We start from the raw sequence: 25916 nt of genomic DNA on the forward strand, positions 1-25916 counted from the left end.
CAGATTAAAAACTCTTCAATCTCACTTTCTACATATATAATTTTAATGTATATATTACATATGAAAATATATGAAGATTCAAACTTACTTTTGCGCACAAAATAGTTTTATTCTATTAGGCAATGAAGAGAAAATGCTCTGTTAACTGTAAAACTATACAACAAGTGGTATTATTATTTAAATATGAGATTTTGAACCTGTAAACAAACTTATATATATTGCTTTGAAAGATAATAATTTGTAATTTTAAATATGTGCCTCTGGTCTCTTAATTGGTAAGGAACATGGATTTTATTTTATTTTAAAATAGATTTTAAATAGATTTCAAAATACATTTATTTATCTTATTTTGAAATATTTTATTTTAGACTATTTTAAAATATTTTATTTTAAAATCCTTGTCAGGGATTAAGTCAGGAGATGAATATAAGGGATTTAATGGACTTTCAAATCGGTAATCCTCTTCATTCCCATTTTTGACTCCCAGTAATACATTAAGAGCATGTCCAGGCCAAGATTCCTTTGCTCTGACCCTGCTTGATTGTCTTCATCTGCAGCTACACTAAACCAGATAGGATTATCAGAATGATCAATTGGCAAATGAACTCATTTTCTTAGAAACAGCTTAGCTGAGTTCTGCTTACAGAACTGCTTTTCACATCTAATTTAAGCTTAATTAGACCAATTTGCCAAATGTTAGAAAAAGTTAAGGTATAATTCAAATAAATGTTATAGCATTATTTATTTTCATGAATAGCTTTATAATGAATCTATATTTTTACCAATCAATAATTCAGTATATTTGCTGCCATCAATAAGTTTGGACTTATAAAGTTTCTGATAAACTTTGGCTACTCAGAGAAAGTTTACTCAGATTCTAGAACACCATGGCTGTTCTTATACAAATCATGTATCATAATTAATTATGTTAATCAGCACTGCAAAGTAGAAATACATTCTCAAAATATGTTTTATAAAAATAACCTTAAAGACTGTACAGTGATGATTTTGAATAAGGGTAAAGTGTCCCTTCACAAGGTCAAAATTCATCTCAGTTGACAAATATTTACTGATGACTACTGCATGCCAGCATTGTGTGGGTTGATGGAATGAAACAGCAAATAAAAAGCCTAACCTACTATCTCATGGAGTTTACAGTGTCATTGGAAAAGTAGACCTAAAACAAGTAAATAGGTAAAATAATTACACATTGTGATAAGTGCTAGGAAGGAAACATCATTTTAATGAGCAATTCAGGGTTGGAAGTTGACACCAAGTTCTCCACATAGGCAGTAAACTAGGAAGTAAGCCAGTTTACTACTGTCTCAGTGTGATATCAAACCATCAAACACAAAGTTAGCTAAAAGCTGATAAAGCAGTAATTGTGTCCAACGTTTTAAGGGCTGCAGAGTATATCTACCATAAATGTTTTGTTTGGCTTCTGAAGCATTTCTTTAGTGTTTTCTGTGAGTCATTCTGAACACACAATAGCAGGACATGATCATCGACTGGAAGACATGAAATATAAATAGTGTAATGGTGCTGAAAAATCCCTTACCGGAGGCTGGCTAGAACCCCTATGCAGATCAAAGCACACAATTCAAAGGTCACCCATGATGTCTAGCCAAACCTACAAACATGAATAGCAAGACTGAAAGATAAAAAATTTCCAACAGAAACATTGTAGACAAAGATGACATAGCATTAAGTGATCTAAAATTTATGAAGGTTTTGAGGAATTTTAACGTTTAAAGCTTTATACGACAGAAATGATTTCAAGCAAATTAGCTAATAATCAGTTTATGTATGTGACTGATATTTACTGAATTTGAATATGTGGAAGAATATCATTGAAAATATTAGTTGGTATACATCCATAGTACCACTAAAGATATTTAATGGGCATCATGCTTGATGGTACATATATTCATATATCACACATGTTGAAACACTTATTGTTGTACCATGAGAAGACCAAGTTATTCTATTTTTTAAAATGAACATTGCCTTGAAAAAGATATTTGATGCTGTGAACAGTAATCCTATTTTTGATATTCTTTGTTTTTGTAGGACATATGAGAAATATCATTGAAACTGCTGAGGCTCCTCGGACAGGACCAACAAAATATTGTTTGTATAAAGGATCATCTGTCAGAGACAATTGACATAGGGTCTTGCATTCTTTGAGTTATATTGACACTCTATGTTAATACAAGAGTGTATATATATAACCAAAAACCCTATCTCCTACAAACAAACTAGTAAAAAAATTCCATAGGCCCATTTATCTTCACCACCACCCCATCCCATATTCAATTTTTTTTGTTTTTCCTCTTGACTCTGACTTTAAATCTCACTGATTTTTAAAAGACTCAAGTGTGTGCATCAAAATTTATCAGAAGCAGCAAATACTTAATATAACCAAAGTTTTTGTTATTCCCAAATAATTACAGAAAAAAAATTCTGAGAGGAAGCAAATGGTCAGTTTTAATTGTCTGGGCCTTGGTTCAAAAAATCATGTGTTTGGAGATTTAACAGACAAAGCGTTTGTTTGGATGCCTCCTACAAACTTAAATAGGCCTGAAATATACAGGCTATTAAATTTACATCTTTAAAATAAGGATATCCTCAGGTTTTTTTTTCTGTTAATATATATGTTTGCCAAACATTTTTCAGGATTCCTAAAGTGATTAAATGCCTTTAAACCAGCTGCTGTGGAGCAAGTGTTGTTATATAAGATGCATAAAGTTATCATCTAAGAGTGAGGAAAGACCTTTAAAAGTTCCAACAGTGGAAATGCAACAGTTAACATGATTTGGTCATATCTTCAAAGATAACTTTTAAAAGTTTTACCAGCACATATTTATTGGCAGTTTATCTCCTACTGATGATGTCTGATGGGAGGTGGGGAGGCATTGCTTGACTTATACTTCATTTATTTATTACATTTTGTTAGCAAATAGACATTGTTTATTGTATTGGGCCAGAAAAATAAATTGCATGACTAAAAGATATTACCTGTGTGAGGGGCAACCGAAACCTAATTTAGTAGTCCCCAAAATATGGCAGTATATGTCAACAGCTGACTTCATTTCAAAGCATAGGGAACATTTTTATCGATCTTTTCGAATTTTAAATATATAGCTTCTACTCTGAATGATATTGTATCTGTGAGCGTAATCAGAATTTGTTTCTTATTTAATCTGTGTTTATCTGATGCAACTTGCTTTAGGTGCTATTCTATATATATGGATGTCAACTTCAAAGGTCAAAGACTTGTCTTTCTTCATTAATAAAAGTACATATGACTTTTTTTTAAGTAGACAGATGATTTAGCACTCTTAGTGCACCTTCAGTCAATACCTTACACACACATGGAAGTTTTCAGAAATCCCATACTTTCTTTAGGGAAATTGATTGATATTTGGGTAAATTACACCTATAACCCTTAAAATAGCAGCCATAAAATTCATATTCTGCCTGGGACCTTGGAAATAACATAAATTCAACATAAATTCATTAAGAGGGCCAGGTATAAGGTCATAAGAAATTGTGGGAACTGTGGGGAACAGTAGAGTGCATGCTCTTTCTATGGGGTAGCCATTGCTAATCTACTTCATCTAGTTGTGCCAAACCAGTAAGAATGTGAAACCAGTATTGCCAGATCTCTCTTTTTAGTAAAAATTTCAACCTTATTTTAGATTCAGGAGTACATTGTTTTAGACTTGGGGGGTACGTGTGCAAGTTTGTTACGTGGGTATATTGCGTGTTGCTGAGGTTTGAGGTGTGAATGATCCTGTCACTCAGGTAGAGAGCATAGTACCTAATAGGGAATTTTTCAGCCCTTGCTCCTCTTTCCTCTCCCCTACGTCTAGTAGTCCCCAGTGTCTATTGTTGACATCTTTATGTCCATGTGTACCCAGTGTTTAGCTCCCACTTGTAAGTGAGAAGATGCAGTATATGGTTTTCCATCCCTGTGTTAATTCTCTTAGGATAATGGCCTCCAGCTGCTTCCATGTTGCTGCAAAGGACATGATTTTGTTCTTTTTTATGGCTGTGTAATATTCCATGGTATACATATACCACATTTTCTTTATTCATTCCCTGTTGCTAGGCACTTAGGTTGATTCCATGTCTTTGCTATTATGAGTAGTGCTGTGATGAACATACAAGTTCATGTGTGTTTTTGGTAGAAAAATTTATTTTCCTTTGGTATGTGCCCAGTAATGAGATTGCTGGGTCAAATGGTAGTTCTTTTTTAAGTTCTTTGAGAAATCCCCAAAGTGCTTTCCACAGTGGCTGAACTAATTTACATTCCTACCAAGAGTGTATAAGCACATTGAAATTCAGATTTTATGTAAACTGTTTTGATTTTTAAAGCTCTGTACAGAAAGATCACTGGCTTAGAGATCAAGGGAGCCACAAATCTTGTCTCTTCTACTATCTAAATATATATGTAATGTTTATCAACCTTATTATGTCCCCATGAGGATAAAACAGATATGACAGTCTTTGGGAGGACATTAAAGAAGTGGTTCTCTAATATACAATAGAGGAAGGAAGCAGGATTAAAAATGTAGGGGCAGTAGCTGTCATTCAGGTCGGTATATTGGGTGATCTGACACTAACTTCCTCTGCGACTTTGGCCAAATAATTGAACATCTCGGGAGAATTTCCTCGTCTGTTAAATGGTGGTGGTGGTGGTAGGTGGTTAACCAAAGCAGTTCAGGCACCCCCATTATATCACATAGGAAAAGGAAGAGCTGCACTAATGAAAGGATATAAGAGAATTGCTCCCTTTATTTTTCCTTCTAGTATACATTAGCAGTTTCACTGAAGTTCTTTAGAATCCAGTTTGAAATCCATTGCAGTAGATAATTCCAAAACTTGACTGTATCTTTAAAATGCTCTGTTTGAAGTACTTTCCTTTGTTTGAAGCATCGGTTAAAGGAACAATCTCTTTAGTTTACTTCACATCAGAGGCTGAACATAATATGTGATATTAGATAGTGATTTTTAAATTTATCCTAAAAGGACCTAAATACTTAAATTAAATGAGCCTGACATTTTAACTGGACTCCTTATTATGTGGTATTTTATTGCCTCCTGTCATGTGTCTCGCATGCTGTTTCTCTATATTATTAAATGAGATTTTGTGGGGTAAATTTAGGTTTCAAAAGTGAGAATATCATATCTCTGATTCTTATACTAAACTGACTGCAATCAAAGATGAGCATGCTGGGTAGCAATCACTGTCGTTAACTTTGTTGAGCTTCACATTCACATGCCCAAAGTTGGAAGAATCAAAGTATGAAAATTTATTTATCAGTGATACAGGGTAAAAATGACCTTGACTAATTCTAAATAAAACCAGCTCTCAATTATTAACTTCTTGGGTCTCAGCCAGAGTAGAATCACCTTCTAGTCATAACTTGTGCATATGGGAAGGCTCTCTCTACAGTAAGGTTAATCAATGTCCTAATGTGGTACAATCATGATGATGATTGGAACTAGTGAGTTGTGTAGAGAACCCTCACTGCTTACCACCATATGTTGTAAAATCTCAGTTGCTAATAGTTCTGTTGGTGGTAGTTGTATATTGTATATTGTATCTGCCACAACGTTCTTGACTGTGTGTAACCCTTGTTTTGTTAGTGGCTTTATAAGAATGTGAACATATGTTATGTCAGCCACAAAGACACATTTTAGTAAATTTCAGGCCTCTTCATCATGACTTTTGTTTCACAGCCAGAATCAGAAGTGGAGAGGGGCAGCAAAAAGAAAACTTTAGTAGACAAAGAGGAAATAGAAGGAATGCAAAACATTTTGGGCCAACTCCAGGGAACCCAGCTGATTTTTTTTCACATTATAACCTATTCTGTACTGAGCTGATAATATTAGTATCATCATCTGCTTGTTCAATAAAGTTTTCCAAAATGTTGATTATTTGGCAAAGTATAAGGAAAACTAAAATGAGTTAATTGATATCACTAAAAGAACAAATTCAGAAGTATAGAAGTCACATTTTACTTAGAATGTCAAAAACAAAATATACCTATTTAACTTGTAGGCCTTAAAGCCCTGGAGTTATAGCTAGTTTGTTAAGCACTATTGTAAAGTACATTCCTTACATTGGACAAGATAAATGAGAAATTTTCAAATATCAAGGTAAACTCCTAATTTTCTGAGTAAGTTTTAAATTGTAATAAAAGGACAGTTAACTCATGGGTGTTTATATATTCATTGAATAATTCTAACACGAATGTTTCTGTAGTCAGTGATTTCAGAGTCTAAGTTTAACCTATGAAACTCATGCCATAGGAGATGTAAATGATTTTGATTTTGGTGAGGATTAGTATAATTATATATATATTTATATAGTATAATTATATATAATACATATATAATTATATATAATACATATATATATATATACATATATATATGTATATATATATAGTGGTAGCCAAAAAGTTTGTTGTGCTTAGAAAGTTTTATTGTTAAAAAAGAGACGGACCTTTGGTAAAATTGAAAAAGTGCCCTCAAATCCAGTCATATATAGCCCATTAAAATAAGGAAGGATGCATTATCACTGACTTGGTGTGTATGATTATATTTTATTTAAGAACAGTGTCACCTCAGAAGAGGTTGGGTGAGTGAGATGTAAAGCAAAATCAAATAGTTATGGCAGTGGAGTGACAGAACGTAAGAGTAGGTGAAAAAAGGCTCACCTTCACTCTTACCTCCTCTCCCCAGCAACCCCAGATATATTTTCATTTTTTTTAGAACGCTCTCTACAGACTTTGAGCAGAGAAACAGTTGCTTTTCAAAAGCAAACAAAACAAAACAAAACAGATGATATTTTCATTTTTGTTCAACAAAAAGATTATGAACTAACCACATATACTTGTAGTGGGCATTATAGGAAGATTCCCATTTCTGTATTACTAAGAAGTACATTAAGGGTTAAAAGAACCACATTATAGTCCTCACAGGTTTTTTTGCATGTCATTTCAGATTTCACTGTTCTTTATTAAAGGATTGGAGAACACTGGGAGTTACTGCACTGCTGGAAAGAATTATTATTTTGTTAACAAGGCTAATTATGTGTTTTTTAAAATGGATCTCTTTTGTATGTGTTTAATTTCTTTTGTGTGGATGTATGTATGACTGTGTGTGTGTGTATGTGTGTGTGTGTGTGTGTGTGTGTGTGTGTGAATGTGCATGTGTAACCCTTGTGAGGAAGATGTAAGATAATTCAGTATGCTCCAGAAAAATGTATATAGTGATCTGTCGGAGATCAATGGCTCCATGTTTAGGAAATAAGCACAACATTGATATTGGCTTACTTTCATCATCCTGTTGGCCAAATAAAAGATGAGAAAAAATTAGAAAGGGATTTTTCCCTCCAAAATGTTGGAATACCTAATGGGATGGGAAGGAAGGCTCTTGAGAGAGAGGGAAAAGACATAATATTGCTGAATTTTTTTGGAATTGTTACGACCCAAGGCCACTTTCTTCAACAGAAATCTATAACCTTATTTCCTTGTCTTCATATATGGAAAAGCCCTAAACCACATGACATTTCACATTATTCTTTAGTCAATGGGGATTATACTATAAATGTGCTAACATTATTCATATATTTAAAACACTAATAGCAATTCAGGCTTCCTTACCTTCTATGTGCTCTTCCCTGCTGGTGTTTCATTGTGTGTAACCTATCTAAAATTTCTGCAGAATTTAGGAAGATGTTTTGTGAAATATAATAAAGCCTTGCTTAATTGGAAGCTAACTAACCAGAACTCTCAATTAACCAGTTTTATTTATTTATTTTCTGCTACACTCTCCTTTTAGAAGGAAGAGGCAAATGACAAGAAAACAAGCTGTTAACAGGTATTTATGTATTTATTTTTTAAAAATCAAATTCCTGAGAATGTCCTGGAGCCTGTACAGATTCAGCCACACTTTCATAATCTTGTTCCCTGTACTATACTCACTAAGGTAGGAAAGTAGAGCCATTTGAAATTTTCAGCAGCAAATGCTGAATCTTGCTTAATCCTCAGTTCATTAGAAAAAATGAAATCCAAAGAGTGAATTACAATCTGTCCATCCAGTTGGAGGTTATAAAGCAGAAGTTAGAGAAAGGCTGCAAGGTTGGTTGGGGTTGAGTGAACAACACTGACATAAAAACTTTGACAGCTATGTAAAATAATGGGGAAGTTATTCAGATGTCCACCTGCCCCTTTGTTCTGGAATGCTTAGGAAGGTACATTCACTTTTGCAGGGCAGCACAGGCTATTAAGTGTGCTACAACGATAATGGAAAAGAATCTGGCTTTCTAATCTTCTGAGTCATTCTAAGCATTAGGCACAGATATGTGTTGTAGGCATGTTAGAAGTTCTAAAACATTTAAATTGTTTTCTTCTAATATTTTAAACAAATATTTGGAAGTCTAAGAAGATTTATACTTGAAACCTCTTAAAATATCTATGAAAATCTTAGTAAAAGGGCAATCAGAGATAACATATTGTTCCAGGCCTCAGACATTTTAGGTTGTAGTGGTGAAAAGAACACACAGTGACTCAGAGACAAGGGCAAAGGAGGGGAACCCATGATCCTAAAATATATTTTGATAGTTCCTGTCAGTAGTGCCCCTCTTCTCTTCCACACTTCTTTCTCAGGTTACATTAACTTTTGGTGATATTTTTTTGCCCCTTTCTTTAGGGCTGCCCTTGATGCAGGCTTTATCCATATTTTTCTATAAGAAAAACGTCATGGAGCTGTAGGGGAGATGAGGACTATACCATGGATTTATCCTGGGTTTTCAACATACAAAATAAAACATCACTATGGTGGTGTTTCTAGTATCTGTGACATTTTCTATATTAAAAGTTAGTTTTACATGTCATGCACACTAAATAATACCCAAGTGACCTGAAGCAGTGGATGTGCCTCCTTAAGTGCCAAACTTTCTATTAGACAATGATATCAATGCTGGGGAGACTAAAACCCACTAGATTTTATTAATGACTGAGTTTAACTGTAAAATAGTAAATGGATTATGTTTTGAGTCTAGGCTTGGATATTGAAAGTGTTTCCGATTTTATATGAATGCAATTGAATTCAGGCATTGAAATTGGCTTTCACTTTATTTTTGATTTTCTAGTAAAATGACAAGCAAATTAAGTCAAGTTCTTTCTTCATTAAATATAGCAGTAATTTATAACTATATAGATTTATTTCTGGATTATCAAAACATACTTTTCATATGTACATATATATATATAATATTTTTACATTTATTGCAATCAGAGAAAAACCATGAAGTGTTTTTGAAAGTATATGTATCAAGTCACTCACATAAACTATAGAGAAACCAGGAGAGTCGCAAACTCCAATCCCTACTGAGGCAAGGATGGTAACGTAAATGAAAGACTATAAGAAATACAGAGTGGTGGGGACTATGGTGAACCAGGGAGTATATATTCTTTTCCAAAGTGGTGGCTGTTACTCAGTTTGGCTGATTATTACCATGTGGGAATGCAGGCTCAGTATTGTTAAGATCTGACTTTTTAAAAGAAGCTGGGAATTACGATTTTTACATGAAATTCTCCAATTCTTAAATGTTGGTAACTAACTCAATAAAAAGCAAAACAAAACAAAAAAAGCAACACTGCACAGGCAAAACAAAATCCATCTGGGGTCAGGATATAGCCCATGGGCTGTCAGTTTGCGACCTCTGCTCTAAATGGTGAGTCCTCAAGATATTGCAATTGCAAAAAGAATCACAGTTTGTTATAAATGCACCTGAAGCCTTTGATCATGGAAAATTCATATAAGGTGAATAAATAACCAGTGGGAGTGCTTACAAATAATTATTCTGGTACTCAAAATGGTGGTTATGCGCTTTGTGGGTTTTATTTTTTACTACTTCAAAATAGGCAATATAGTTTTTCCTTCAAGTGATTTGAAAATTAAAATTAAATTAGTATTTTTTTGCTTTCCTGTTATCAGTGAAATGCAGTATGAAACAGATTATTACTGCCATGTCCACAAAAGAATACTTAAGTATAGTTCTCATCACATAACATAATTAAGGTTTCTATTTAAAGTCCAATTTATTTTGTTTTAATAAGAAGAAAGCCATGTGTATAACATGTGTTGTTTTATTTTAAATTGGCTTGCCTTTAAACAAATTCCCAATTCCATCTAGCAAAATTCCTTTATTTTTACAAATGGTTAAAATAAGAAATAAAAGAAATGTAAGCAGTTAACACAACAAAACTTCATTTGAACTTTTGATAGGCATTGGCAAAGATAAAACAAAGTTGGTCATCTGAGATTTTATTAAAAGGTAACTGTTTGACTGATCTGAGACTTTGCTTGTTTGTCTGTCCTGCCATGGACCTTAGCACATAATCCCACTGTGCTACAATGCTTTTGACATCTGTATGCCCCTTTCATCACTGGCAATCCAAAAGCATATTTGTCTAAAAAGGAAACAATTAAATTCCAATCTCTCTAGGAAAAAAAAAAGAAAGAAAGAAAAAGAGAAAGAAAACACCCCACTGTTAAACCTGCTTTAATGGTCACAATGATTTGTACCATAAATCCTTATTGAGGATGGTAAATTAACATTTTCACTTCTGATGAGAAAGTCGAGAACTTTAAAAAGAAAAGTAAAAAAAGAAAGAGAAAGAATTGAAGGCATTATCTCAAATCCTAAATAAACTAGAAAAAAATCTCATTCCTTGACAAATCATTCTAGTTGCAGATTTAACACAAACACACGTGAAAGATGAGAAATTATTGGGTAACTGGTCAACACATATGACAATGTGCAAAATAGCTGATGTTTACTTAAATAAAATTTGGGTAGACAGTGCTGCCCTTTCCAGATCATCAGCTAGTTTTGACCACAAGTAATCTGTTACATGATTGGGATGCAATATGTTTAAATATACTAATGAATGAAACTTATTTACTAAAACTCTAATAATTAAGGATCTTTAGTTAAGTGGTTAATCCTCAAAGGTAGAGAATTTAAGAAATGAGTGATTATTTGATGCATTTGACCAGCATAGACATATAAATAAGATAATTCAGGATAAAATATTGATGAACAATTAATCCTCTTTTTTTGCCAAGACATAATAATATTTAACATTTATCAAACGTGAGTTCAGGTGATTTTTCACATATTAGTTCTTTTAATCATCGTAACAACTCTATAAGATAGGTGCTGCAATTATAATCGTTGTCTTACAGTTGGTGATACTGAGTCACACAGATGGTTATATGATTTACCCAAGGTCATACAGCCTATAAATACCAGGGACAGCATTTGAATCAAAGCAGTCTAGTTTCAAAGCTCATATGCTTTGGGCCAATATATTTTATAACCGGCCAAATGGAATCAGACTAATTAGAAAAACACCTCATTTACTATTATATATTAAATGACTTATTGAAAAATGACATTTCTATTCAGAAATCAAGTTTGGTAGCATCATTTTGATAGTGTAATAAATTAGCAAGATTATAAAATAGTTCAGATAAAGCAGGAAGAAAAAAATAAGGAAAGAGCAGGAAATACTGAGAAAAACTTGTGGATCAATATTCAGGTCTACATTTTGCTACACTTAATCCACAGTTTAATTTTAAAAATTGTATCTGAAAAAAATTTGTATCTGTGAAACATTAATATTATGACTAACAATAATCTCCTTTTTACTCCACAAATGAAAGATGACCACTAATCCTAAAATCAGTGTGTATCATTGCTGTGTCTTTTTAAAATTATGTGTGTATTTATACACAAACAACATGCAATGTTGATTTTTGTGTTTTTTTAATTTTTTGTTTTAAGATGTATCAAACTGTTGTGATATCATACTATTCTTTTTAAGTATTTTTACATTATGTTTTTGAGATTTATCCGTATTGATATATGTAAATCTAGTTCACTTATTTTTTAATTGTCCGTTATACTACCTTGTATAACACAATTTGATAATTCTTTCCTATATTCATAGGTTGATAATTAGGTTGTTTCCAATTTTTTGTTGGAAACCGTGCTGTAATGGTCATGTCTTGCACCCATATGGGAGTATTTCTCTAGGATATCAGCCTAGAAGTGCAATTTCTAGGTTGTGGGCTATGTGTGTCTTCAACTTTAATGGTTACTGCCAAATTGTTCTCCAAAGCTGTTCTGATTTACTCTCCTACCAGCAATATACAAGAGGTCCCATTTCCTCACATTATTGCCAGCGTAGTAGATATTTTTAATGAATGATCTGTTTGAAGAAAAAATAATTCTTTTTATTCTCTTACGATTATACACATACATATGAAATATTGATTCCGATCACTTAGCACAGATAAAAATATTTACAGATACTATTTTTGTCATTATTCTTCATCTTAAAACATATGTAATTAAGATAAGGATTAAAGATACTATTTTAAATTTGTAAAGTATCGTCTAAGTTACAAGCACTTTCCCATAAACTTTCATTTGATGAGACAGTATGGTATAACAGCAAGAGCTCTGGGGAAAAAAAGAGTCATAAGTCCATGGACTTAACTCTGCACATAAATCTGTGGCTTTGGACCTCAGTTGCTGCATCTTTTAAGTTACAGTATTAGACTAAACAATCTCTTAGATAAATAGTATATGCTTTGATCTATGATACGTATCTTTCCTTTTCCTTGAAGCTGTAATTCATTTATTGTGCATAAAACATAAGGAGAAAATTGAATTTGGTCAATTTGTGAAAATTGTTGTAACACTCTCTCTGGCTCAGTTAATAAGATCATAACTTTACCATCATTATACTTACATTTCTTCTAATTCAAGGACAGTTAGGGGTGGATGGTGGAAGAGAAGATGTGACACATGATTTCGAATTCATGTTCAGTTTTTCCCATTTCAAAGCATCACATTCTAAATGCTGAAATAAAAAAACAAAGAAAGCTCAACAACTATTTGTTATGACTTTGTGTTTGCTTTCAAGCTCCTTTTATGCACATTTCTGATTCAGAAGAAAATATTCAAGATTTTCAGCTCATTTAATGTTTGATTCCAGCAGTACTTTTATGGTGCTACACGTAACTACTTAAAGCAGAGAGAGGACTCAGGTTGACGACTCTATATTCTTTCTTTCTTTTCTTTTCTTTTTTTTCTAAGGACACGAGCCCATGAAATAGCCTCAGGAGGTCCTGAGACACGTGCCCCCTTTATTTCTTTTTGAATAAGGGGGTAAGTAATTAGATTTTGTGTTTGGAGAGAGACTTTTTATTTGAAAGATCTGGATCTTTATCCTGAGGTTTAACACAGAACTTTCAGCTTTTCTTAGATTCTATGTGTATGGGAAAGACCACTGAGTTAGAAACCAAACTGTCTAATATTACAGGAGATTAAAGTAGAAAAGGGAATCAGTAGAAACTGATTTTGTTTAAACTCTCAGAGTTGCAAATATGCTACATTCATACACACACACACACACACACACACACACACACACACACACACACGTCCTCTTGCCAGCACAGAATATCTGTTATTTTCAATGACTTTTAAAAAGAAAACTTAACCTGTGAGGACATTGAACACTGGTTACGAGTGAAGCTTCTACTTATGGAAGGTGGCAGTTCTGGCAAACAAAATATAAATCAGTTAATCTCTTGTGATGAAGACATTCTTAGAGACCTTTCTTTCTATAAGTAGTCCTGGGAAAATGTTTTGACTATAGCATTCCTAGAAAGTGAATTGACCTCCTACAGAGTTTCAACACCAGGTATTACAAGAAAATTGTGGTTCACACACTTTGTTCAAATTATCTTCAGATTAATACAATTTGCATACATATACCTAATTGTCCAAATGTAACAATAAGCCTAGAGAATCCCACGTAAGTTGCTTTGGGCCTGTTTGTTAACGGACTGTGGGGCCCATATTTAAGATCTTTCATTGCTATTTTTGCTAATTGCCATCCTGTTTTTAGTTTAAGCATACTCTGGAAACCACTATTTTATTGCATTGCTTCCACTAGTTCAGAGAATCAAAATCTCTGCCAAGATAATCTACAGTATTTCTGCCCAGATGCTACCTATCCTATGTGGAGATTCAACTGGGTTAGCTAATTTTTTTCATAAACACGAAATAAATCACTTAAAACACAAGCTATCTCAAAATCTTTAATACAGTTTCAAAGATGTAGGTCAGAACATTTTCAAGACAACACTTCTTGGACATATTTCACCAAGTAACTGACAAGATTATTGGGAAATTAGTACTCTCATTAAAAAATATATTGCAGTTGCTCAGTATTTATTAAAAAACAAGAAAGGAGGAAATATGAACATTGTCATATGGCCTTTATCACCTGCATTATTCAGAAATGCTATATGTATTTGAGGCGTTGATACATCTCTATTCGCAAAACCAATTGCAGTCTTTCCTTGAACTACTCCCTATTGAGTATCCCCACTTTTGTTAGTCTGAACGAAGCCTTGGCAAACGAAACTTGTTATCTTTTATCAGAAAAAGTCAAAACCATGGACACGTTTGTCTTGACCACTGACTTCAAGAATACCCATGTGCTTTGCCAAGGACGGCATCTAGATAATAATACTATAATATTACTATAAAATATTTTCTTTTATTATTGAAAACCCAGTTTGAACCTTGAGCAAGTCATTTACATGCTGTTTCTTTGGGATTACCTACATTCTTGTCCACTCTGACCTTGTAATATTTCTCACAGTTGGAAATGTAATGCAGAGTGACTAAGATAATGTTGTTTACACAGACTCTAAGTGGAGTGACATTATAGTCAAGCAAGTGTCACATCACCCAATGTGAAGGAAGACTTAATTACCATAATCCTGTGAATACTAAAATTTCTTAGCCACGTGTAGCATAATAATGTAATGTTTTGCATGTACATTTAATAATGCAAAGGTGTCTCAGGCTGTGTGTTTCTTTAAAAATGAAAGCAAAGTGGGATTACAGAAAGAAAATAGACTTTTGAAATTGGAGGATACTTATCTGAATGTTCAGGTGAAGTCTGTCGTTTCTTTTAAACTCCAAAGAGTTGCCTAGTGATGTGAAAATGAAGGGACTGCTGAAATATCTATAAATCTATACACCAATGAGTAGGGTGACAGACCATGAATTTCTCTGGAGGGCACAGGGTAGATGTAACTAAATGACTGAGACAGGATAAAGAGGAAAGGCTCATAACCACCTATTATTGTGCAATGGGGAACATATCATTAATTTACAAAAGAGTGGTGACATTTTCTAAAATTGTATAGCCCTATTCTTAAAAGTTTGTCAGTGTAACTAATTAGTTTCTAAAATGGAGTTGATTCTAAGACCCAGTATGAATGCATTTGAAAAGGCAAGGCATTGTCCCTAAATTGGTAGGGTTTGTAATACATCTTGATGAATGCTACAAAAATAATGTTAAGAAATAGGACTATTATGGTTTGTAGTCCTTGAAGGAATTATGTTCCATGGCAACGTGCCCTAAAGACATGTCCTGCTTTCTGTTTTTGATAACACTGAGTTTTCAATACAAAGAATTCAATTGCTCAATGGGTTCTTCTCCCAGTGTATGAGGACTCTAAAGATCTTTTGTTATTTTAGGCTATCATTGGAATTTTTGTTTTTAAACTAATGTTAATGTTCAAAAGAGGGCAAGTATAAAATGAATCAGCAATAAAATGTGAAGTTGTTTTAAAATAAATCCATTAGAAAGGTGAGATGTAAAAAATGTGTAGCTCAATCAATAGATTTATGTAAGTGATATTCATAATTTATGATTCAAAATACTGTATCATCTGAGACAGTGTTCCAGATGTTTTTAAAAATGTGCAAAAGCTGTTAAAACATATAAAACATCGAAGCCTGTTAATAACAGCAGCCACGCTTTACAATTAGGAGAGTTTAAAAAGATTGTGAACTGATTTATCATTATAAAATACTCTTCCAATAGAGAATACTTTTTCTGAAATATATAAACAACATTTTCTTTGGTTTTCATTTGAACATTTTTATTTCAATTTGGACATTTTCCTTTTAGCTGGCTAGTCCTAGCCAAACAGTATGTTAGTGTAACATAGTTTGTCAACAGATCTGTATTGTTTTGTTGCTTTAAAATGAAACTAGTCTAAATTACAAAAATGGTGACGTTATATGCTTTATGCTGCAAGTTTTACAAATACCCACTAAATCACATATTAATGTTTCTAACATATTAGGTATAAAGAAGGTAGTAGTTTTTATTTTTTATCATCAAATATACTTGGCATTATAGCACCCACTGTATTCAGAACATTAAGTGAAGGGATTTGGAACATCTGATTGACACATCCCATTTAAAAATGGTGTATACATAGAGGCAGCCCTCCGTATCCATGGTTCTGCATCCTTGGACTGAAAATATTTGAAAAGAAAAACAATATAAATAGCAAGACAGCAATACAAACAAATACAAATAAAGATTCAGTATACAACAATTTACATAGCATCTACATTGTATTAGGTATTATAAGTAATTTAGAGATGAATTAGAGCATATAGAAGGATGGGCACAGGTTAAATGCAAATACTATGTCATTTTACATAAGGGACTTGAGCATCCATAGATTTTTGTATCTTTGGGGGTCCTGGAACCAATCCCCCTGGGATATCGAGTGATGACTATATTTTACTTTTTAGTAGCATTAAAATCACATTGTGCTTTCCATAGTTTATGAATGTCCAGCTCTCTGTCTTCAAAAATCACTCTGAATTTTGGAACTAAATTAGATACAATTAATGTAGGGTAAAACACTTTTTAATAACCTTGGGTTCAGCACAGAAGTGGTTAAAGGAAGTGTGTGTGTTTTTAAATACGCTTTTATTTTTAGGACAGTTTTAAAAATAAAATACAGAAAGAAAGCAAATACTGCACTGAGAGTTCCCATTCACCCCGTAGCCAGTTTCCTCTGTTGTTAACATCTTACAATTACAGAATCAGTTTGTCCTAACTAATGAACCAGTATTGACACACTGTTAACTAAGTTTATACTTTACTCATATTTCTTCAGCTTTTCTCTAATGTTCTTTTCTGTTCCAAAATGTAGGACATCACACTTTATTTAATCCGCGGGTCTCTTAAAGCTCCTCTCAGCTGTAACGGTTTCTCTCCTTGTTTTCAATGACCTTGATAGTTTTGAGGAGTAGTGGTCAGGTATTTGTAGGATGTCCCTCAACTGGGGTTCACCTGATGCTTTTTTCATGATTAAATTGGGGTTATGTGTTTTTGGGGGAAAGACCCCAGAGGCAAAATGCCATTTTCATCATATCATGTAAAGGGTATATACTATTGTTTTTTATTACTGTTGAGATTGACCTTGATCACGGGGCTCAGGAAGTATCTGTCAGGTTTTTCTATTGTAAAGTTTACTCTCTTTCTTTTTTTTTCTTTCTTTCTATATTATACTCTTTAGCAGTCTTTGGAAAGCACTCACTGTGCAAAATTATTTGGAATTCTTCTAAATGAGAGATTTGCCTTTTCTGTCCCATTTATGTATTTATTCAATTACTTATTTATATCAGCATAGACTTCTAGGTGTTTATTTTATACTTTGGGTTATAATCCAGTACTACAATATTTATTTTATTGCTTAAATTGTTTCAGCTTTGGCCATTGGGAACTCTTTCAGTAGGCTCCTGCGTACCTTTGACATGCCCCCAACATTGTGGATTTTTTCATACACTTCCTTACTTTCTTGCACTGGATGTTCCAGACTCATCTTGTATATTTCCTGCTCCAGTCCTGGAGTCAGAAACCATTTCTTCAAGTTGTGGTTAGGAGAATTTTTGATCTGCTCAATCCTAAGAAAGTGCTAAAGGTGGCCAAAAAAGAGGGCCAGAGAGTCTCTCTTGGTTTCATTTTCTTGTTTGTCTCCTAAATTTTCCATCATCCTAGTAATGCACATAAGTCTTATTCTCTCACCATATGAATTTGCCCATTACTCTTATAACATCCAGCAGCAAGAAAAGAATGAAAAGCCTCATAGTCTTCTACAGTCACACACCTTAATTTTCATGCATAGGTTTAGAAATATGCTATGTAACTCCAAGATACATGTCCTACCTGAAACCTATCCCCTTATCCAGCATCCCAATACACTACTTAATCTTCAGTTTGTGAGTCACTCTGGGATCATTTTATTTTTCTCAGAGAGGGTTTGGGGTCAAATAAATTTGGGAAATATGGGATTAAATAAAGGTAAACAAACTTGGTTACTGCAGGTCTTCTTGGAGCCTATAATTTGTTAATTTGCTTTGTGATTCTATAGGAAAATATATTATATAGAAGATTTTCCAGTCTTTTTTGATTAAAGTAGCTTTTTGTTCTGGAAACTAGTATTCCATAAAATGCACTTTAGGAAATGCCATACGAGTGGTAAAAGGCTGGAATTTGTCTTTGGAAATCTTGTGTTCAGTCCCTCACTGGACCATCTACTAGCTCTATGATCACAAGCAAATCACTTAACATCTAGAAGTCTCTATTTTTTTAATCCATAAAATGAACCTAGGAATTTCTCTTCCAGGGTTGTTATGAAAAGCAAAAATGAGTAAAACCAAAACTTATAAGAATTCTTTGAAAATGCATAATTCAATGCAAATTTCCTAAGCACTGTAAAGGTCGGGACCATCCCTTTGTTTTGCTAACCATTGTCTCTTTAGTATCTAGCATATTTTCCTGGCATTTAGGTTTCAATATTCAATAAATATTTACTGAGCCATTGAATTATATTACTAACACTTACATTATTTTCTATTTCTCACCAAGTATCGTATAGCAGCTTATGACATTTTATAAATTACTTTTTGATATTAGAAGTCCATGTAACAAAATGCAGGCAGAAACATACAGTTGAAATGGCTATATATGCAAAAAAAGCCCCCAAACTTTTGATTCTAGCCTTTGTTTTGCTGAGCATGTGCTCCCAGCCAATGGCTGGCTGCATTCTGATTAGTTTTCATTGCTTCAAGCTGACCAGATTTTCCTTTGAAATAAGGGCACTGAAGCTTTCACCTTAATTCTGTGGTGATGTAAAATTCCTGCTGCAGTCACTGAGCTGGTGCTAGAAGAAGAGGAGCACCTGTGAGCACAGGCTGTCAGGAGGCCCTTGGAGCCCTAGAGTGTTGAGGCTACAGCTGCTGGGTTGAGAAGCAGTTGGAAGCGCTTTGTCACTCCTTCTTGTGCAACCACAGGAGATCCACTAAAGGATTTTTACTTTCTTTGGATGTACAATTTGTGCTATCAGGAGTTATGGAAAGGATCTCTTTTATAAAATTGAAGACAGAGTGAAGCTTTGATGGGGGTGGCAAGTTAGGCCCTGTTAAGCAATATATTTTGGTGAGAATAGTTTGGAGATAGTAATAGGGCCCTCATGTCTCCCATTTTGCCCAGTTCCCCACAAACCAATGTATTCTGTACGTATTCCCAGAGGTAAACTTTTCAGTTTCTAGCTTCTCTTTACAGAGAATCAACTGGAGCATGTTTATTGTATTTGAATGTGAGAAGTTGTCAGCCTCCCTGGAAATGCTACGTTAATATTTGAAGTCCAGGAAGAACCATGTAGCTTTGGAAACTGCAAAAATATTTCAATCAAATTCTAGGCTTTGGGATTAGTGAGACAATGGTCAAGATCAGTTTAGGGGGTCTTTCCTTTCTTAATATTTAAATCAGAATTATATATACTAGCATACCTTTGTCCATTATGTAATTCATGAATGCTAGAAAACAGAAATGTTTTAGTTAAAAAAACTCTGTATGGGATAATGGTGGCCTAACATTTTCCACAGGTGTTGGTCGGAGTCAGAAATTCTCTAATGATAGTTAATTTTATGGCATTGCTGTTATTCACACTCTGAAATAGCAATTTTCTCCCCATCTGTATCTCTCTTGCTCAAAAAATACAGACTTTAAGGCTTATATAAAATATGTGTTTCGGTGAGAAAGGGAGGGCTTAATATTAGACTATACAGTACTATGACTTTACTGCCTTATGGATTTATTATTATTCCCTGACCCCACACCTGAAACTACTGCTTTCTTTCAAAAGCTAGACTACTCATTCGTAGTATCAACTGGTACTTTCATTTAAATTATTCACTACAGTTTTCCACCAAATATCTTAGTTCTTTATTTGATTGAAATGAATAGATGGACACTCTTGCAAGTATGTTCTTGACAATTTTGCAACTTTATTAGGTAAAATATAACCATCTTCTTTTAAATGATCAGTTATGGGAAGGAGTTTTAAGGGAATATTTCAAACTTAATCCATAAATTACATTTAGGAATCTTTCCTTGCACTTTACAAATTTATTGAGTTTACTGAACTTGTAGCAGCACAGCTAAATTCCAGCAACTGCAAAAATAATTAGTGACATTAAGTTGAAAATGTTGTAAACAAGTGAAGTTATTATTCATTCTGTACCACACTACAAATGTGGGAGGACAAGTTAAATGATAAATTAGGCATGAACTGCTTTAATCTGTAAACTGAACATGTTAGCAAATGGCTTGCGTTTGTAATTAGTATTTATGGCCACAGGAGAGTGCCTCTTTAAAAACAGTGACAGAAAATTGATCAGTTTAGGTCGTCATAGCAACCAAAAAGTCCCATTGCTTCTGTTAGGTTTAGGTTATTATGCTATATACTCATGCTTAGAAATATATTTATGAACTGTAAAGATAAACGATAAACTACTTAATAATGTAAAAGAGGTTGGGATGCCGAAATGCCAAACTGACAAAGTCCAAATGAATACCGAATTACTCGATAACGAGCTTAAGTGTTCTGCGGTTGTCATGACATTTCTTTTACAAAGCAAATGATGCTGGAAAAAAAATCTTAAAACTAGACTAAAATGCAAATCCTTTTATGACAGTATGTGGTTGTCACGTTCATAATAACAGACAATAATTGATGATTTATAAGATGACACCATGGCAACAGAGTCTTTCATCATTGGCACCCCTTGGTTACTTTTATATTAGACGCTTGAGGATGCCTGTGAAAAGTTTCCAAGATGACATACAAGAAGATCTACTCTTATTAGCTCTCGTTTAAAACAGGGTGGAAGCATTGTCGAGATTTTGGAATCACCTGACAAAATAAAAGCTGGCAATGTCTCTGGTTAAAAAAAAACATCTCTGCTAAACTAATTTATTCCCATGTAAGCACATTCAGTAGCTAAAATTGGACAGATTTGTTTTGGTCACTTAACCTTTCAAAGAAAGTCTGTAATGCCTCTCAAATTTGAGTGTAAGCTGTTAGGTTGTTTAAAATTATGGTGAATGATAATATCCTTATACAGGAGGCGGGAGAAGGGGAGAGGGAGTGCAGGAAACCTTGACCTTGCTTTTAACTCCTAAAAAGATGATTTTAAAAACAGAATTTTAGTGTTGAGGACTTTATGAAAGTGGAATAAATTTGTAATTAGATATTCTAATTTATCCCATTTAATGTATTTGGTAGGCTGAGGAGTAAAATGTTGGAATTTCTTAGAAGCAATAATCTAATCAGTTTTTCAATTATAGATTATTATTATTTTTTCTTTTTTGAGAGAGTCTTACTCTGTCACCCAGGCTGGAGTACAGTGATGCGATCTCAGCTCACTGCAACCTCCGCCTCTCAGGTTCAAGCGATTCTGCTGCCTCAGCCTCCGGGGTAGTCGAGATTACAGGCATGCACCACCACACCTGGCTAATTTTTGTATTTTTAGTTAAGACGGGGTTTCACCATATTGACCAGGCTGGTCTTGAACTTCTGACCTCAAGTAATCTGCCCACCTCGGCTTCCCAAAGTGCTGGGATTACGGATGTGAGCCACCATGCCCGATTATAGGGTATTTAAAATATAGGAAATATAGTAAACCTCCTCTCTTGGTTTTATTGTCAGTTTATGAAAAAATAAAATTCTTTAATATTTGGAGCTTTTGAAAGGTTTCTTGGCCCGGTGCAGTGGCTCATGCCTGTAATCCCAGCACTTTGGGAGGCTAAGGCGGGTGGATCACCTGAGGTCAGGAGTTGGAGACCAGCCTGGCCAACATGGTGAAACTCCGTCTCTACTAAAAATACAAAAAGTTAGCCAGGTGTGGTGGTACATGCCTGTAATCCCAGCTACTAGGAGACGGAGGCATGAGAATCACTTAAACCCAGCAGGCAGAGGTTGCAGTGAGCTGAGATCATGCCAGTGCACCACTCGGGCTGGGTGACAGAGTGAGGCTCTGTCTTAAAAAAAAAAAAAAAAAAAAAAAAAAAAAAAAAAAAAAAAGACTGGTTTCTCGATTATTCAGTCACTTATTTGATTGAACCAAAAGTCTAGACAATACGTTTTGAGGTTCTTTCCAGTGGAATTGTACTATAATTTATAAGGGGTTGTAGAAACACCAACTATTTGAAATATTGAATATAAAATACTGAAACTACCACATTTAAATGACATAAGTGGAATATAACCATGTACATCAAAGTTAACCTCGTCTTTCTACATGAGGTTTTAAAAAATACGGCTTTGAGGATTTTTCTAAACACTTATTTCTTACATAATTTAAGCTTTTGTAAGGATAAAAATCCATAGTACTCATTTCCTTACGAACATCACATAACCAATTACATAAAGTAGGATCTCTGGTCATACTTTTTATTGATACATTCCCTACAAAGTGGTGTAAGGGATATAAAATCCTTAATTTAGGAGCCCCAACTATTCTTTGATGCAAAGAATCAGCAAAATTTGTTCCTAGTTAACAGTTAAGAAAATGGGGTTTACCATTAAATGTAAGAATGATTTACCTTTACTTATATAAGAAAATAAGTTGTTTAATTCTGAATCTTATTCTAGATCGTGGGTAAATCACACAATGGAACATGATTTTTTTTGCACTAGACACTAATAATTTATTTTTCATTTTTTAAATAGTTTGCAATTTTTTTTTATTATACATTAAGTTCTGAGATACATGTGCAGAACGGGGGCAGGTTTGTTACATAAGTATGCATATTTTTCATTTTCTTTATTAAAGAAAACATGTTTTCTCCAACATTTTGCTATAATGGATGTTTCAATGATTAATTTTATATTTGTTTTCCTATCTACTTCCATTATGGAGTTCTATTAGAATAATTGCTTAGTTGAAGGGTATAAACATCCATTTTGATACATAATGCTTGATTCTGAATTTGATTAAAATGATACCTGTTCTTGGCAAACATTTTACTCTGTGATGTATAAAATGTATAACATGTAGAACATATTGTTTCTGTTTTCTAGGAGTTTATAATTTAGTCCACAAAGATACCAACTATGAGCCTGAATAAACCATAAAATAATCCCAAAGTACTAAATAAAGAAAGGGTGATATTGTATGATATATAGACTACAGACATAAGAATTAAAATTACTCAATTACTCGTGGTAAGAGAAAAAGTTAGGCTGAAATGGTTTTGTGGAGGATAATAAGTCAGGACATAAGATTATCCAAATTTAGAACTTAAGTCAATTTGGGAGATTTGAATCATCAGAAAACTGTTACTCTAGATTTTAAGAGCCCACATGACCAAAGGCAAAGAGCTAGAAATAATTATGGCATATGATGGGAATACTAAAGAACACTTTCCCACTTACACTGAAATGGTATGACTGCAGAACAAGAAAAATAACACTTAGATATTGCTTACTCACCTGATTTGCTTCTCTGTCTCCATTCTTGACTAATCTTGAGAATTAGTCCTTCCTTAACAGTGCTACACACGCTGCCCCTCTTGCTCTTAGAATAAAGTTAAAATATCTTAACATAGCTTACAAGGTCCTATGCCAGTGGTTCTCAACCAGAGGTGATTTTTGCTCCTATGGGACATTTGGCAATGTTTGGAGGCCTTTTTGGCTGTCGCAATGGGTGGTGGTGGTGCTATGGCATCTAGTGGGTAGCAGTCAGGAATGCTAATAAATATCCTATAATGCACAGTACAGTTCCCATAAAGTGGAGAATTATCCAGCCTAAGATGTCAATAGTGCTGAGGTTGAGAAAAATAAGAAATGCTACCCTGTAGCATTTTATCTAACCCCTGCCCACCTTGTTAATCTTTTAAATCTTAAGCTACTTTCTCCCTACTCATTATCAATTCAATTACCTTGGTGTCCTTGAACATTCCATTTTCTCTCTCACATTCAGAATTTCACATATGCTGTCTCTCTACCTGAAACACACTTCTGTTCCCCTTCTCCCCATACCTCAGCCCTTCATCTTGCTAAATCTACTCATCATTCTATATATGCCTATCAACTAGATTCTTTGATTACGTGAGTCATGCTTTATCCATCATTGTATTCCCATTGCTCAGCATGTTGTTTGAGACATAATAAATGCATGTTAACGCAATACATAGATTACTGGAGAGTTTCAATGCTAAGATAAACAAAGGTGGTTAAGGGTTTGGGTGATTATGTAAAATGGCTGTGGTAATAAAGAGAATAAAGTAACTTTGAGAGAAACTGCAAAGGCAGAACTCCCATGGCTTGGTCACTGATTCGATGTGGATTGTGACAGAAGAGTTAAAGATGATTTCTACATACCAGGTAAACTGAGGGAATGGGTATAGAAATTGTAGAATTGGGAAGGAATCTTTATTTTGAGGTATCAGATAATGGGAATCTATTTTTATTTACTTGGTGATGCCTATAAGCAGCTAGAAATAGAGTTTAATTTGGGTGAACTTGATATTTCTGTAACTGTGGGAAAGCAATTTAACTTCAGTCTCTTCATTTGTAAAATGGAGAAAGAATGAGTACCTACCTGACTGGGTGGGATTAAGTGAGTTAACACATATAAAACACTTATCTTTATCCCAGTGTTGGACATAGAATTAACACTTAATAAATGGTAGCTATTTTATTATTATTATTATTATTATTATTATTTTCATCATTATAAATGTCTTTTTTTTCCTTTGTCTCTGCATTTTGAAATTATACCTTTCAGTACAGCTACCGCTCTCCCATGAAACTTTTTATGATGTTTCAGGGTATCAATGATCACCTTCCTCCCCTGTAACTGTATAGCATTCTACATTAACTACTTTTTTTTGTACTTGTCATGTACTGCCTAGTCCCATGATTGCATACGTGTTTACGTTATGATCCCTGTTATATTGTAAGTTCTATTAGGGTAAGACTCTGGCTTACTCATCTTTTCCTGACATACAGTAAGTGCTAAATAAATATTAGTTTATGATAATTAATTATAATTTTATTATTGTCATTGGAAAGTCATCAACAGAGGTATTATAGTTGACTCAGAATTAATATGCCTTCCAATTTATATTCAGTATTAATGCTCCTAGTATTTTCAAAGAATATCAATTGTTTTATGAAATAGAACAAAATATCATTTTAAATTAAGTGCTAAGTAATCTGAAAAATTTAAAATGTATTTAATTGATGCTAGTCAAGTTTCATTATTATAGAAAAGCCTACCTGATAAAAGAGTATTTCTTTTGAAAAATTTGATATTTTCAAGTTGCTAACTAATAGTGAAAGATCTTTTGCTTATAAGCTATGAAAGAATATTTTTGTTTGTAATGCCAAACCTTTGAAGAAACTGGGATATTAAACAATCTTATGAAAATGGTAAAGATTTTTAAAAATGAAATAAGCAATATCATGCATTTGTAAGACTGTATATCCTTTCTGAATTCCTTTAAGATATAATATATAAAACATCATGTCGGTAAAGTGTTCAGAACCAAGTTTAGGAAATATAGCCCAGGGTGTCTGAAGAGTTTTGTAGTCACAATAAATAACACAAGAACTTTGATATGAGACATTCTTACTTG

At 33.6% G+C, this 25916-nt stretch overlaps 1 protein-coding gene across 8 annotated transcripts in view; it reads left to right on the forward strand.

Annotated features, from left to right (window-relative positions):
- The window catches only part of DACH2 (dachshund family transcription factor 2), a 684152-nt gene that overhangs the window by 220516 nt on the left and 437720 nt on the right, over positions 1-25916 (forward strand). For 5 of the 8 annotated variants that reach the window (XM_011530846.3, NM_053281.3, XM_011530847.4 and 2 more), the window contains exon 2: positions 7858-7896. The exons of the other annotated variants lie outside the window; for them this stretch is intronic. In XM_011530846.3, coding sequence (XP_011529148.1) covers positions 7858-7896 — 39 coding nt within the window. The remainder of the gene's footprint in view (positions 1-7857; positions 7897-25916) is intronic. 8 annotated transcript variants of the gene reach the window in all.

Source organism: Homo sapiens, chromosome X (genome assembly GCF_000001405.40).
Source record: "Homo sapiens chromosome X, GRCh38.p14 Primary Assembly".
NCBI classification, from domain to species: domain Eukaryota; kingdom Metazoa; phylum Chordata; class Mammalia; order Primates; family Hominidae; genus Homo; species Homo sapiens.